We start from the raw sequence: 15,174 nt of genomic DNA on the forward strand, positions 1-15,174 counted from the left end.
GCCCAGGCAACAAAGTGCAGTGGCGTGATCTCAGCTCACTACAACCTCCACCTCCTGGGTTCAAGTGATTCTCCTGTCTCAGCCTCCTAGGCAGCTGGGATTACAGGCACCTGCCACCATGTCCAGCTAATTTTTGTATTTTTAGTAGAGACAGGGTTTCACCATGTTGGCCAGGCTGGTCTTGAACTCCTGACCTCAGGTGATCTGCCCCCCTCGGCCTCCCAAAGTGCTGGGATTACAGGCGTGAGCCACTGTGCCCGGCCTAATTTTTTGTAGAGAGAGAGTCTCACTATTTTGCCTGGGCTGGTCGCAAACTCCTGGGCTCAAGCGATCCTCCCACCTCGGCCTCCCAAAGTGCTGGGATTACAGGTGCACACCACCATACCCAGCCACCTGAAAAAATTCTTAAAAGAAAGGAGAATGGAAACCAAAGTCCATTTGCTAATAACTGCATAAACTATAATAACAATAACAATATAATACAAGATATTGAAACCACATGAAAAGTGGTTTATAATAGAAACAACTTACAATAATCTTCACTTAGAGATATATCAGAGGAATACTTAAAACACATACATGCTCATTTTCAAAACACTTGAAAATGAAGTTCTTTTAAAATGGTATAAAAGTTTAACATTTAAAAATTAAATACCATTTAAACAATGATCATTGTAATCCTTTTAAAGTATCATGACATCTTTACAGTGAGCACCTCTAATCTTTAATGAAGACATAGTGTTAAATAATGGTAGATCCAAGTCAACTTAAATAAATTTCTCTAGGTGTAACCATCCAGTTAGTTTTTGAATTTTCTTAGTAAGTCTGTAATTAGAAATACTTTCCACAATGATATACTTACAAATACGGTATCACAGAAAACTAGCAGTCAGGTAACCAAATGTTGCATACATTCTTTTTTTTTCAATCCCCATAGCATAATTTTATATATCATAATAATTCAGAGTGACCCAAGGGAAAAAATAACTGATTACCTGGGCTTTTCTGGTACATCAGAAGGATTACTGCAAAATGGTTCCTGGTAAATAGTCTCAGACAGGTCATGATCCAACAAAGTTGCCATAATTTCTTCCCTACTTGGGGGGGACATAAGTGGTTTCAGAATGTTAGCAGTTCGAGGGGTGAAGCTGCCATTTTTAGATTGTGAAGGAGAGCTAGTAGATCTTGGTGAACTATCAGGAGTTGGTGTCAACATATCATTGTTTCTTGAAACATACAGTTCTAAATCTTCACAGGCCACGTCTACAAGTTCACCATCAGGGGAGGAGAGTATTGCAGTAAAAGAGGTATTGGCTGAGTCAAGAGACTGTCCCATTTCTTTTCTGGTGTGACCTTGAATCCAGTCTGAATTGTTTGGCTGTGGGAGGCTAAGAAACACTTCTTTGCTTACTGAACTCCTATTCAATCTAGATTTTTCACTTAGACAGTCTTCTGCCTGCTGAACACAGAAAGAATCCATTATTGAGTTAGACCGAGTTGTTAGAGGATGAAAGCTATTTTTCCACTGGTTGTGGCGACGATTCTCATTGCTATCTATGGTTGACTTCTCAAAAATTTCAGGACTTAAAGTACCAGATCTAATCCATGAGGCTGAGTCTGTGGTATGATGCTTGTCTTCATCACATTTCTGGTTGTCATGACTTAAAAACTCATTTTTTTCTATAGCTTGTCCTGGAAAAAGATCCTGAACAGCATCACTTAGGAACTTCTGAGGCAAATTCTGATCAGCTGGGACAAACTGACTTCCAGAATAAAAGCTACAAAATCCAGTCTGACCTATTGTGTTAATATCAAAATTATAATTATGTTCAGGAGATAAACTATCTTCAAGTGAGTAACAACTTTCAAAGCCTGGATCTGAAAAAAAGATGGGACTATCATCTGATACAGAGTTATCCAACTGGCTAGAGTTTTGTAAATTTAAAGAGTCTACTTTGAGAAGTTTGGGGATTTTTTCTTTTTGTTTTGTACTTCTGGGAGTTCGAGGTTTTCTTGGGGACGTTACCGATCGTGTCCGTTTATTTGCTTTGTTATGCTCAAGGGAACCAGAAATATTTTTATTTGGTTGATGTTTATTGGATAATGGGTCTTGTGTAGTATTTGCATTTTGTGCTTTCTGCTGTCTTTTTTGTAACAATTCTTTTAGAACTGCCAGTCCAGACTGTCCTTCACCAAATGCTGAAGGTGTTGACACATTTCGATTTTTACACTGAGAAAGTGCTTTGGTTTGTGAAATTGCTTCTGATAACGACCTCGGTTTTACTCTTTCAGGTTTAAAATTTGACATATCTAAAATAAAGCCCCTTTGCTTTTGCTCCCATGCTATTTGTTTGATTGGACTTCTCAAGGAAGTTACAAAGCAATTATTAGGCATTTGGCTTTCCTCTGAAGCTGTATTTCCCGGAGAACAAGTTTCACTGTGCTTTGACTGTTCCGCTATGCACACAATCTGCTGCTGACTGTCTTTGCAATGCAAAAAATTAGGGGTATATGCTTGGTCCAGCTTTGATTCTAGGGAATTGCGATATTCACTTAACTTTCCGATTGATGACAAATAGTTTCTTTGTATATTATTTGCATTATCTTCTATCTTTGAGGACATACCAGAAGATATCTGTGTATTCTGTGCTACCTGAGATAAATGATTGGAAAGGTCAAATATATTTTTTTGAATTAACGTTGATTCCTTTAGAGTAAACATAGCACTTTGATTATGAGGCCTTTGAACATTAATTTTTGAGACTCCAGGTCCTATAGAATTACAAACAACTGATGGATGCAAATCATCTCGTGAACTGGGGAATGTCTGCAAATCTACAGACTTCTTGCTTTCTAAGAAAGAAGAAAAGCAGCCAGATAACTTCTGTTGTGCATTAATTCCAGTGGGTAGGGAAGCAGAAAGGGGATGATCTACAGCAGAGCCCATTAGTGGCATATCTTTCTGTTTAAAAAGTAGTTGAGAGCCTCCAGAACTACTTGCAAATTCAGACACATTCTGGTGTTTCAGTACAAACTTAACCTCAGCACCAGACTGAGATTTTATTTTTTCATCCTTAAGTGTTGTATGCTTTCTCGATGTACCTTTCTCATTTGTTTTTTGTTTTGCTCTTGGTTTCTTTTTTCCATCATCTACTAGTTTATTTGTCTGATTTCGTTTGTTCCTTTTCTTAGTAACTATAGAGGGATTAGCAAGCTTTGCTTTTGATTTCTTAATCTGTGCTCTTGCGCGACTAGTTTTTCCTATACGAGAATTAACAGTCTTCTTATATACATTAGGACCCTTAAAAAGCATTGCCTCTTTTTCTGCAGCAGCCATGATTTCTTCAGCTCTTGGATCTGTGGGAGACCAGCAGCGAGGTGGAGAAGAATTTATGGGACTTGTGCTTCTCTCAGAAAGAAAACCTAGTTTAGACATAACATCACTATAATTCAGGTCACAATCTTCGGTTTCAGCATTGTAAGATGGTGAGGGAGGAGAAAGAATAGCATGTGACCGTTTTTTCCTGAAAGACAAAGTTCTTTTAATATTTTCATTATTTGTCCTTTGTTGTTTACCAGTTTTTTTCTTAGCAGATTTATGTTTTGACTTTCTTCTGTGACTTTTCTTTGGTGTTAGTGGATAAATGGGATATTTGGTTGCAGGGGAGTCGGGAACTTTTGGCCAAAAGTCCTTCAAAGGTGCAAGCTTTTTATATAGTTCCATTTTTTCTTCTGTTAATATTACTTGTTTTTCTTTAGAGTCTATTTTTCCTAGCTTCACAAGCATATTTTTTCTCCCTCTAAATCTATTAATAATAATATACTTTATGATGACAGGGGGCAGCTTTTTAGACATTTTTCTTCGTTTTCGGGATTTGAGAGTTCCATCTAAACTTTCACCAATTTCCATGGGATGAGGTAGACTAATTTTTGAGTTGTGAGTTACAAAACTTGACTCACTGTCTTCAGTCTCATAATTTACCTTGCGTTTGGCTCTAAGTGTGTATTTATTTCCATATAGTCCAAAGGACTGCTCAGTTTCTAACGTTCCATCTCCAAAGTGACAGTCTATAAAACCATCTGTGGGTGTTTTATTTTCAAAAGCTCCACGAGTGGTTTTAGTTAAATCACTAGCCAATGCATTATCCTTCTCAGGATTACTATTACAAGGATTATTTTGTATAAAATTATCTTTTGTGGATCCAGTCTCACTACTTTTGGTAGAAGTCTCCTGATGACCTGCAAGTTTCCTTTTATTCAATTTTAACCGGGATGGTTTATTGCCAGGTTGTAATTTATATGTGACAGGAGATAGTTTCTGTGGTCTAGTAAGACAGTTAGAAAGAACAACACTGGGAAAAAACATATAGTGTGCTGCTTGCTGGCTGAGGCTTGGCTTTTCTGTTTTATGTTCTTGAAATTCTTCATACCTAATTTTAAGTTTATTTAGTCCACTTTCATCAGCAGTGCTATTAAGAGAATGCACCATAGTTCTATTCTCCCCTGAGCATGACAGTAATTCACAATTTTCAGTAAATGATGAAGGGAATAAACTACTCAGAGCTGTGCTGTTTCCTTTTTCATTTCCTTCAGAGGATACTTTATTTTTTGAATGATTTAAGTCAGAAAAGTTGAAAGAATTTTTGCCCAATGTATTCTCGTTAGGGTGACGGTGCATATGTATAAAAGGGGAATCCTTTTCGATTTTTCTAATGTTTGTATATTTTCTACTTGGTACTTGTCTTGTAACAGATGGAATATCTTCTTCATAATCAAAAATACTACTTTCACAGGAAGATACTGGGAGGATCTCTTTCTTACTATTCTCTTTATGAGAATTTTCTGAATGAACAGTACTGCTTAAAGATCCAGGGTATTTCATAGAATAAGTGCTTTCGTTTGTAAAAGAAGTGACTGAGTTATCTAGACCTTTTTCTGTATTTTTGTTTGTCTGTGAAAGGTCTTCAATTAAATCTTCCTTGTTCAAAACATGGGAAGAAAGGGCACTTGTGTGTTTACACTGAAAGGTAATCTTAGCAGAAGATGAGGGTTCTAATGTAGCAGCATCTTTGTGAAAGATGGAGGGTTTAACTGAAAGCTTGCTTGTTGCAATTACAGAAGAGTGGGTTCTAGAATTTTCATTGTTCAATGGATTGTCTGAAATGAGGAGGGAAAAACAGTTTATTTCATTTTACTCTTTTAATTTTTAAGACATTTTCCCACACCAAGATATTAATGCTATCACTATGAAAAAATTACATCAAATTAAGTTTGGTTATCTTAACAAAAAGGTAATGCTTATCATTAATGACTCAATCTAAATATAGTTAGTTACAATTATTAGTCATCATTTTAAACAAATATTCCATTGATCAGAAATAGATTATATTACTATTTAGTTCCTTTGGGGCATAAGGGAAAAATACTGTCACTTTAAAAATGTTCATAAAATAATATGCTTTACATTATCACTTCAAATAAACTGAGCATATTTTTCAGTTTATTATTCTACTTGCACAACAAACATTAAAGTTTTCAAAGCTTGAATTCAGTGGTCAACAAATGTTATATCCTTTTAGAAATGAGAAGCAAATCATGTATCTAATTCTTTCAAAAGAAAAAAATCCTGAAGGACGAAACATCACTATAGCCTCCCTTAGCCAACTATATAGAAAGTATGATTACAGTTTCAAAATCAATAGAAAGTATGATTAAAGTTTCAAAATCATATTTATTTATTTATTATTTTTTTTGGAGGCAGAATCTTGTTCTGTTGCCTAGGCTGGAATGCCATGGAGCAATCACAGCTCACTGCAGCCTCAAACCCTTGGGCTCAAGTAAGCCTCCCACCTCAGCCTCCTGAGTAGCTGGGACTACAGGCATGTATCACTATGCTGGGCTAATTTTTTTAGTTTTTTAGAGACGGGGGTCCCACTACGTTGCCTAGGCTGGTCTCGAACTCCTGAATTCAAGTGATCCTCTCACCTTGGACTCCCAGAATGCTGGGATTACAGGTGTGAGCCAGAGCGCCTAGCCTCAAAATCAAATACATTTTTAGATCGTGAATAACCAATTTCTCACAGTAGACTTGTTTACTTACCACTATTTTCATCTGCAGTTCCATCTAACTGAGGTATAGAAAGACTGGCTAGAAGCAAACTGTTATCACTCCATTCCATTTCTTCTCCTGAAGATGAGTCATCATCTTCAGTTGAACTTCTGTGGGTATTTCTGCACAGTGATCTGGAGAACATTAAAATTCACTGGTGAGCATGATCATTAGTAAAGACCATCTCAGATGCAAATAATGCATCTAAGTTAACTCTATAATAATGTATCTAAGTTAACTATAATAATGTATCTAAGTTACTCTATAGTAAAACAATACAAAAAATCTGAAAATTGTAACTTCTAGAAAAGCATATTTACTTTGCTTTATTAACATGTCTTACTATAGTAACTTACAAAGAGTTATTATAATTAGACTTCATAATCCCTTTCATGTGAGCTAAAATACACCACAATTCCTGCATTCTGAATTGGAAGAAACAAGAATAAAAAGATGAGTGAAGGGGCATTGAGGTCAGGGCTGAAGAGAAAATGCTGAAGAAGAGAGAGGGTAATAGGAAGTAGTAAAGGTGTTCAGTCAACCTGACAATAACTACAAAGGGTTACTGAGAAATTCAGATGGACAGTGAAGTCCAGTCTTTAAGTTTCATCTCATATTGGTATTAACTTGATGTTTTCCCTTTTAATTGAATGGGCAAACTTTTTTCCTATCCATACCCAATTTTTTCTTTCACTAATCTCAACAATTTGAAATTATTATTATTTTATTATACTTATTATACTGGAACTGTTTTTCCATTAAGCCTTTCCAAATCACAATTTATCATAAAAATCACTCCCTTAAGAGCTGAAAGAGGTATCAGAGGTCCAGTCCAACTTTCTACCCAATGCGAAAACCTCATTTTTAACGAACCTGACACAATCTCTGTTTTTACATAATCTGTATAAGGGGCTTGCTGTCTCACAGGGCAATCTTTCCACTGTTAATGGCTTTAATTATTCATAGTTGTCTTCTTGTAATACACAAACTCTTTCAACTTCCATACATGATTCCTATTTTGTTCTCTGTAGCTATACAGAGCAGGTTGATGTCATTTTCCACATGATAATCTTTAAAATACATAAAGGCATTTCTCATTCATCTTGTAATTCTAATTAGATCAAACATTCTCCATTCAAAAGTTCTTCAAAAGTGACAATGCTCACAGATCCTTCTAGTTTTCTTCCTCTTCTTTCCCTTTCCTTTTTCAGTATTCTTAAAATATGGTACTCAGCACAGAATATAATATCCAATATAAAGAGCAGAATTAACTAAACCCTTTTCTAGACACCATGCTTCTACTATTCAATCTCTCTCTAATATATGTGTACAAAATGTTTAGGTTTGTTTTCCCAAGGTTAAATTGGGCATGGTTTTCACCAAATTGGTTCAGCCACTGAACATACAAACATAAATTTAATCATAGGATTGACTATGCCTATTATTACAGCAGTGACAATGTTAGAGGAAAGAATTTAACATCACATCTGGAGATTTCTATATCTGATTTATTAAGTAGAAAAATAAAAACTTTCATCATATACATGTAAACACTGAATTTATGGATTAACCTGTTTCACCTTTCAGTGATGGCTTTGGGTTGGAAATTTCAAATACAGACTAAAAAAGTTCTAATCTAGCCTATAGAAGTTTAAAGGAGAGGCATACTCAGTCTTTCAGGCTCATAGGCCTAGATTTTTCTATACACAGAGCATATAACTAAAGGGCAGACTCAAACCAATCAAGTTCACAGAGACTGATTTAGAAAACCACAACACCAACTTATTCATTTATTTTGAGAAACAAACCACAACACCAGTGTTTGCTTCTTAGTCTTTTATTTATTTGTTTTTAACCTTAGTTCCCTTAGTCTAATCAGAGCCCAAAACCATACCCTGTCTTCAGGCTGACTCTATACATTGTTGTTCTGATACCCAACAGTTCAACTATCACAGGGCATTCTTTTTCTTAAGTTCTAAGATAAGAAGGCACTTCAATTTTGCTCCATTTATCACTCACATATGTTAATACTGTGTATATAAATGGATAACTTCTAAAAGTTAGGTTAATCTTTTAAAATGTAGCAAAACTTTATTTTGCTTGGAATATGGAGTATACGCCATATGAAAAACAGATCACTAAAGGGGAATTTTAAAACATCAATTTAGTTCATAAGGTATTTTATATCATGAACAATAGTAATAAATAATTTCTGATTGAAGGACAATAATGATAAAAGTTAATAAAACAACTGCAATAACTAAAAAATTACCTCTTTTTGGCACAATGTTCTTCAATATTGCTGTCCCATCTCTGGGACATCACCAAACTAAGCTCCATTTCCTCTTTTTCAATCTGTGGTTCATTTTCTTCATCATCACTATTTTGTGGATATTTATTATTTCCAAAGGAGCGACATGGTGATGGCATCCTATTTCTTTCCCCCCGATATCCATCACTTTCCAAACCAGCAAGAAGATGTACCAGAGCCTCATCAGGACTACTGTCCACTATAAAACAAGTACAATAATCACCAACAAATAAGTTTTCTTTTTTTTTTTTGACACGGAGTCTTGCTCTCTCACCCAGGCTGGAGTTGGAGTGCAGTGGCGTGATCTAGGCTCACTGCAAGCTCTGCCTCCTGGGTTCATGCCATTCTCCTGCCTCAGCCTCCCGAGTAGCTGGGACTACAGGTGCCCGTCACCACACCTGGTTAATTTTTTGTATTTTTAGCAGAGATGGGGTTTCACCGTGTTAGCCAGGATGGTCTCGATCTCCTGACCTCGTGATCTGCCTGCCTCGGCCTCCCAAAGTGCTGGGATTACAGGCGTGAGCCACCACGCCCGGCCTGTTTTCTTAATAATCCAACAATTCAGATCACTCAGAATAAAATAACAACATCATAGATACTGGCACAGGCTGAAAGAATACAGTTGGTACAAAGGCTCAGGTGTTGAGGTAGCTCTCCTATCAAAGTTGATCCTTGGACCACCTGCATTAGAGTAATTTAGGGACATTATTAAAATAACATTGTTGTGTGCTCCAGCCAGGGCTGCCTGGGACTGCACAGGGTCTTGGCCGTGGGTACAGCTCAGCACTGTCAGCCCCTAGTTGGGAGGCCTTGCCAGGGAAGGCTGGCAGTGGCTGCAGGAAGCCTGAGATGCCACTCAAGGGGAGGCCACTGAAGGACTGGTTGAGTGCAGCCCTGGCCAGTGAGATGAGGAGGCTGGGACCATGGCCCTAGCCACCCGTGTTTCCTCCGGTGAAATTTGTGATACTCACCAAGAAAGAACCACTTATGGTGTTTTAGTAATGTACTGAACTTTGCAAAATATTAATTCAAAATAAATGCATTTTCCTTCTTAAGTAATACGGTTTTCCGTGAATCAAAGTACAGTTAAAAAAACTATTTTCTTTCACAAATTTTTTTAAGCTGTATAGAAAAAAAGCAAAGCTACTTGATTTAATGCAAGGTTTCATTTTCATATTCAGTAGAGTGTTTACTGAACATGCAACATTTACCTCTTCAAGTCAATAAAAAAAAAAATGCCTCTTCACAACACACATTTTCTCTGAATTACAATACTGAATATTTATGGTAGCACTGTTACTTACTGAAAACAGGTGACTCACTCAGTCTTTGGGTCAAAGGCTGAAAAGTCTGACTATTTTCCATAAGGTTCAAAATTGCTTCTTCATTAATAAGAGCTTCTTCCACTTTGTGTCTAGTGTGACCTTAATTTGACAAAGAATAAAAAAAATTGAAGCAATGGCCTAAATCCAAAATTTATCATTTAGAATTTGTGTAAATTTGGAAGCATTACCATATAAACCTATTTTAAATTTCAAAATGTTAATGATGCATGCCAAATAAAAACATAATAAAAAGCCACAGAAATATTTAACCAGTCACATGGATTTATCAAAACAAACACTGAATCTATAAATCACCAAATATTTATAACCTCTTTAATCCTACTTAATGTGTGTAGTTATATTACTCTGATAAAAATCACTGCATATTCAAATATATAAAGTGAAAAGGAAAGATAAACTATCTTATTTGAATACTAAAATTCTTTATTCTCTATGGTTCAAAAACAACAAATTTAGAATAAATGTTTTTGAACTCTCCTAGAAAAAAAAAATTGACAGTGCTCATTATTTGACACATGTGTATTGGACTCTCTTTTGAATGCATAAAAAATAAAGAGCTTAGTGTAATCCCTAATGGGGCGTGTGTTGGTTTTTCATGCCTGTTTGTGAACTGTAGTTGTGGTTTCCCATTTCATTGCCATAACTGGGCAGAAATAGTTTTTAAGTGCTATAAAAATACAAAGAAATGGTTAAGCAATTAAAAAATTCATTTTACATTAATATTTTTCAGAAAGCTTTCATTATATATCACATTCATTACATTTTCATGATATCAAAAAATATTAGTCCATGTGGCCATATGGAATCCTCCAACAATTGCCGTCCCCTGAAGGAACACCAAACTGAACTACCCACACAAGAAAGCGCCTTCATTAGAATAAAAAATCAGGAGAGCAATCACAGTACTTGGTTTTAACAACGTATCAAGGAAAGAGGCAGCGAAGAGGGTAGAAAAGACAGTCGTGAATTGCTGACAGCACCTCCCATCTCTCAGGCAGTGGTCTTGAGGCACGGAGAGAGAAATCTGTGCTTAGGAGAGACAGAACAGAGTGAATATGGGACTTTGCTTTGCATTGGAACTCAGTGCTACCCTGTCACAGTGGAAAGCAACGTCCCTGTCACAGTGGAGAGCGACACGGTATAGAATTTAGCCAGCACCCATGAGGAGAGGATTTGACCAGCCCCAGCCAGAGGGAAACTGCCCATCCCAGCAGTCCAGAACCTGAGTTGCAGCCAGCCTTACTACTATGGGCTAAAGTGCTTTGGGATCCTAAATAAACTTGAAAGCCAGTCTTATCCACAAGGACTGCAATTCTTGGGCAAGTCCCAGTGCTGTGCTGGGCTCAGAGCCAGTAGACTTGGGGTACACGCGCCTGGTGAGAGAGTAGCTGGGGCAGCTAAAGAATTATTTGTGTCACCCCCCCTCCCCCAACCTTCACAGTCCCAGGCAGCACAACTCGCAGCTCCAGAAGACTCTTTCATTCCACAAGAGGACAGGAGAGGAAGGAGTGAAGAGAACTTTATCTTGCAACTTGGATACCAGCTCAGCCACAGTAGAGGAGGTAGAGTCGTGACACACATATTCCAGGCCCTAACTCCTGGATGACATCTCTAAACACACCCTGGGCCAGAAGGGAACCTGCTGCCTTGAAGAGAAGGACTCAGACCTGGCAGGGTTCATCACTTGCTCACTAAAGAGCCCTTTGGCCTTGAGTAAACACAAGTGACACTCAGGCAGTACTTGCTGCAGGCCTCGGGTGAGACCCAGGGACATGCTGACTTCAGGTGTGACCCAGTGCATTCACAGCACTGGGAAAAATTGAAAGCCCGTTCTCTAAGATCTGGAACAAGACAAGGATGCCTAGTTTCACCACTGTTATTCAACACAGTACTAGAAGTCCTAGTTAGAGTAATCAGACAAAAGAAAGGAATAAATAAAGTGCATCCAAATTGGAAAGGAAGAAGTCGAATTATCCTTATCTGCCGATGGTATGATCTTATATTAGGAAAAACCTATAGACTCCACCAAAAAACAAATTCAGCGAAGTTGCAGGATACAAAATCAACATATGAAAATCAGTAGCATTTCTATATGCCAACAGTGAACAATCTGAATAAGAAACCAAGAAAGTAATCCCATTTACAATAGCTACAAATAAGATACTTAGGAATAAACTTAACCAAGTAAGTGAAACATCCCTACAATGAAAACTATAAAACACTGATGCAAGAAATTGAAGAGTACACCAAAAAATGGAAAAGATATTCCACGTTCATGGATTGGAAGAATCAATACTGATAAAATGTCCATGCCTACCCAGAGCAATCTACAGATTCAATGCAATCCCTATCAAAATACCAATGATATTCTTCACAGAAACAGAAAAAAAAAATCCTAAAATTTATAAGGAACCACAAAAGATCCCGAATAACCAAAGCTACTCTGAGCAAAAAGAACAAAACTGGAGGTCACATTACCTGACTTCAAATTATACTACAGAGCTATAGTAATCAAAACGGCATGATACTGGCATAAAAACAGGCACACAGACCAATGGAATAGAGAACCCTGAAATAAATTCATGACTGCAGTGAACTCGTTTTTGATGAAGGTGCCAAGAACATACCTTGGGGGAAAGAACAATTTCTTCGATAAATGGTGCTGAGACATTGGATATCTACATGCAGAAGAATGAAACTAGACCCTGATCTCTCCACCATATTCAGAAATTAAATCAAAATGAATTAAAGACTTAAATCTAAGACTCAAACTATGAAAATACTAAAAGAAAACATTGGGGAAACTCTCTAGAATATTGGTCTGAGCAAAGATTTTTTGGGAAATATCCCCAAAGCACAGGCAATCAAAGCAAAAGCAGACAAATGGGATCATATCAAGTTATTATACAAAGCTTCTGCACAGCAAAGGAAACAATCAACAAAGTGAAGAGACAACCCACAGAATGGGAGGAAATATCTGCAAACTATCCATCTGACAAGGGATTAATAACCAAAATATATATAACTCAATAGTAAAAAATCTAATAATCCAATTAAAAAATCGGCAAAAGATCTGAACAGACATTTCTCAAAAGAAGATATACAAATGGCAGACAGGTGAAAAGATGCTCAACATCACTGATCATCAGATAAATGAAAATCAAAATTACAATGAGAAATCATCTCACCCTAGTAAAAATGGCTTTTATCCAAAAGACAGGCAATAATGAATGCTGGCAATGATGTGGAGGAAAGGGAACTCTCGTACACTGTTGGTAGAAATGTAAATTAGTACAGCCACTATGGAGAACAGTATGAAGGTTCCTTAATAAACTAAAGATAGAACTACCATATAATCCAGCAATCTCTCTACTCGGTATTTATCCAAAGGAAATGAAATTGGTATGTCGAGTTGAAGAGATATCTGCACTCCCATGTTTATCACAGTCCTATTCACAACAGCCAAGATTTGGAAGCAATCTAAGTGTCCATCAACAGATGAATGGATAAAGAAAATGTGGTACATTTACATAATGGAGTACTACTCAGCCATAAAGAGAATGAGATCATGCCATTTCCAACAACATGGATAGAAGTGGAGGACATCATGTTATGTGAAATACGCCAGGCACAGAAAGACAAACTTTGCATGTTCTCACTCACTTGTGGGGGCTAATTAATAATTTAAACAATGGAACTCATGGAGATAAGAGAGTAGAATGATGGCTGCCAGAAGCTAGGAAGGGTAGTAGGGTGGGGTGGGGAAGTGGGGATGGTTAATGAGTACAAAAAAATAGAAGGAATAAGATCTAGTATTTGATAGCACAACACAGTGACTACAGTCAACAATAATCTATTGTATATTAAAAAATAACTAAAAGTATAATTGGAATGTTTGTAACACAAAGAAATATATGCTTGAGGTTATGGATACCCCATTTATCCTGATGTGGTTATTACATTGTATGCCTGTATAAAAATCTCTCATGTACCCCATAAATATATATGTCTACTATGTACCCACAAAAATTAAAAAAAATTTAAAAGTAAAATGTAAAATTTCAAATGCATTAAAGACCTAAATGTGAAAAACCAAACTGTAAGCACACGTAAGCCTTAAAATGAATACTTAAGAGAAAATTTTCATTACATCAGGGTAGGGAAGGTCTCATAAATCACATACCAAAACTAAACCATAAAGGAATATTGGTAAACTTGACATTAAAACTGAAGACATGTAAAACCCCAAGGATAACTTTTTTTTTTAAATGGGGGGAAAAGAAGTTAACATTTTTTTTTGAAGATTTTTATAAGATAAGCCTAGATGGAGAGAAAACATCTCTACAATAAGTATAACTGATAAAGACTTAATATCTAGAAAATATGAAGAACTCCTACAAATAAGAAAAAGACAAATGACTCAATAGAAAATAAGCACAAAATGTAATTCACAAACAGAGAAACCCAAATGGCCTTTAAAGATGCTCAAATTCATTAGTAATTAGGAAATGCAGATTAAAATGCAGAGACACTATTTCAAAGAATCAGAGCAGCAAATTTTTTACATCTATTATTTTATCCTTATTATTTGATGCTATCAAATGTTGAGGCTTTGCTTGCCTAGTAAAATTGCGTATGATACAATGTGACTTCTGAGTAAAACTTTTATTATTGTCTTGTTTACTAACCATGTATAAGCTAATTGCATTATAGAAAAACTGTTAGAACAGATGCTATCTAGGTAGAGTACAATGCATACACCCTAACATTCAGCAACTCACTCTTCTACATGTGTTTGGTAGAGAAGCTCCTGCACATAGCCATAAGGAGACAGATGTAGCACTAAGTGCAAAAGTAAAGACCATCTAATACTTGTAGAGAAATAGCTAACATTGTTGTTTAGTCTTAAAATGGAACAGTCATCAGCAGCTAAAATGAATGAACAAGGATAAATTTCAAAGTTATAATGTTGACATAAAGATGCTCGACATCAGTAGTAATGAGGGTAACGAAAATTAAAACCACAGTAGGATTCTATTTCACACACTAGGATGGCTACATTAAAAAAAGACAGATAATAACAAGTGTTAGTGAGGATATAGAGCCAGAGAAACTCTCATATATTGCTGGTGGGAAAGTAAAACATTGCTGTCACTTTAAAAACAGCTTGGGAGTTTATTTAAAAATTAAACACAAATATACCACATGCCCTAGTAATTCTTTTGCTTGGCAGAGGTAATCTTTTTAGTGACGTTTATTCTTAAACTGTTTCATTTGTTACTATTGATATCATTTTACAACTTTATGATATTTATCCTAAAATTTATGCTTTACTGCTTATAACAGCACTATTTTTTTTTTTTTTTTTTTTTTGAGATGGAGTTTTGCTCTGTTGCCCAGGCTGGAAT

At 36.3% G+C, this 15,174-nt stretch overlaps 1 protein-coding gene across 16 annotated transcripts in view; it reads right to left on the reverse strand.

Moving 5' to 3' along the window:
• REV3L (REV3 like, DNA directed polymerase zeta catalytic subunit) overlaps window positions 1-15,174 on the reverse strand; it is a 184,679-nt gene that overhangs the window by 72,568 nt on the left and 96,937 nt on the right. For all 16 annotated transcript variants that reach the window (NM_002912.5, NM_001286432.2, NM_001286431.2 and 13 more), the window contains 4 exons: window positions 9,725-9,844; window positions 8,382-8,619; window positions 6,101-6,243; window positions 996-5,157 (listed from right to left, as the gene is read on the reverse strand). In NM_002912.5, coding sequence (NP_002903.3) covers window positions 996-5,157; window positions 6,101-6,243; window positions 8,382-8,619; window positions 9,725-9,844 — 4,663 coding nt within the window. The remainder of the gene's footprint in view (window positions 1-995; window positions 5,158-6,100; window positions 6,244-8,381; window positions 8,620-9,724; window positions 9,845-15,174) is intronic.

The sequence above is a fragment of the Homo sapiens genome, chromosome 6, assembly GCF_000001405.40.
Source record: "Homo sapiens chromosome 6, GRCh38.p14 Primary Assembly".
Taxonomy (NCBI): Eukaryota; Metazoa; Chordata; class Mammalia; order Primates; family Hominidae; genus Homo; species Homo sapiens.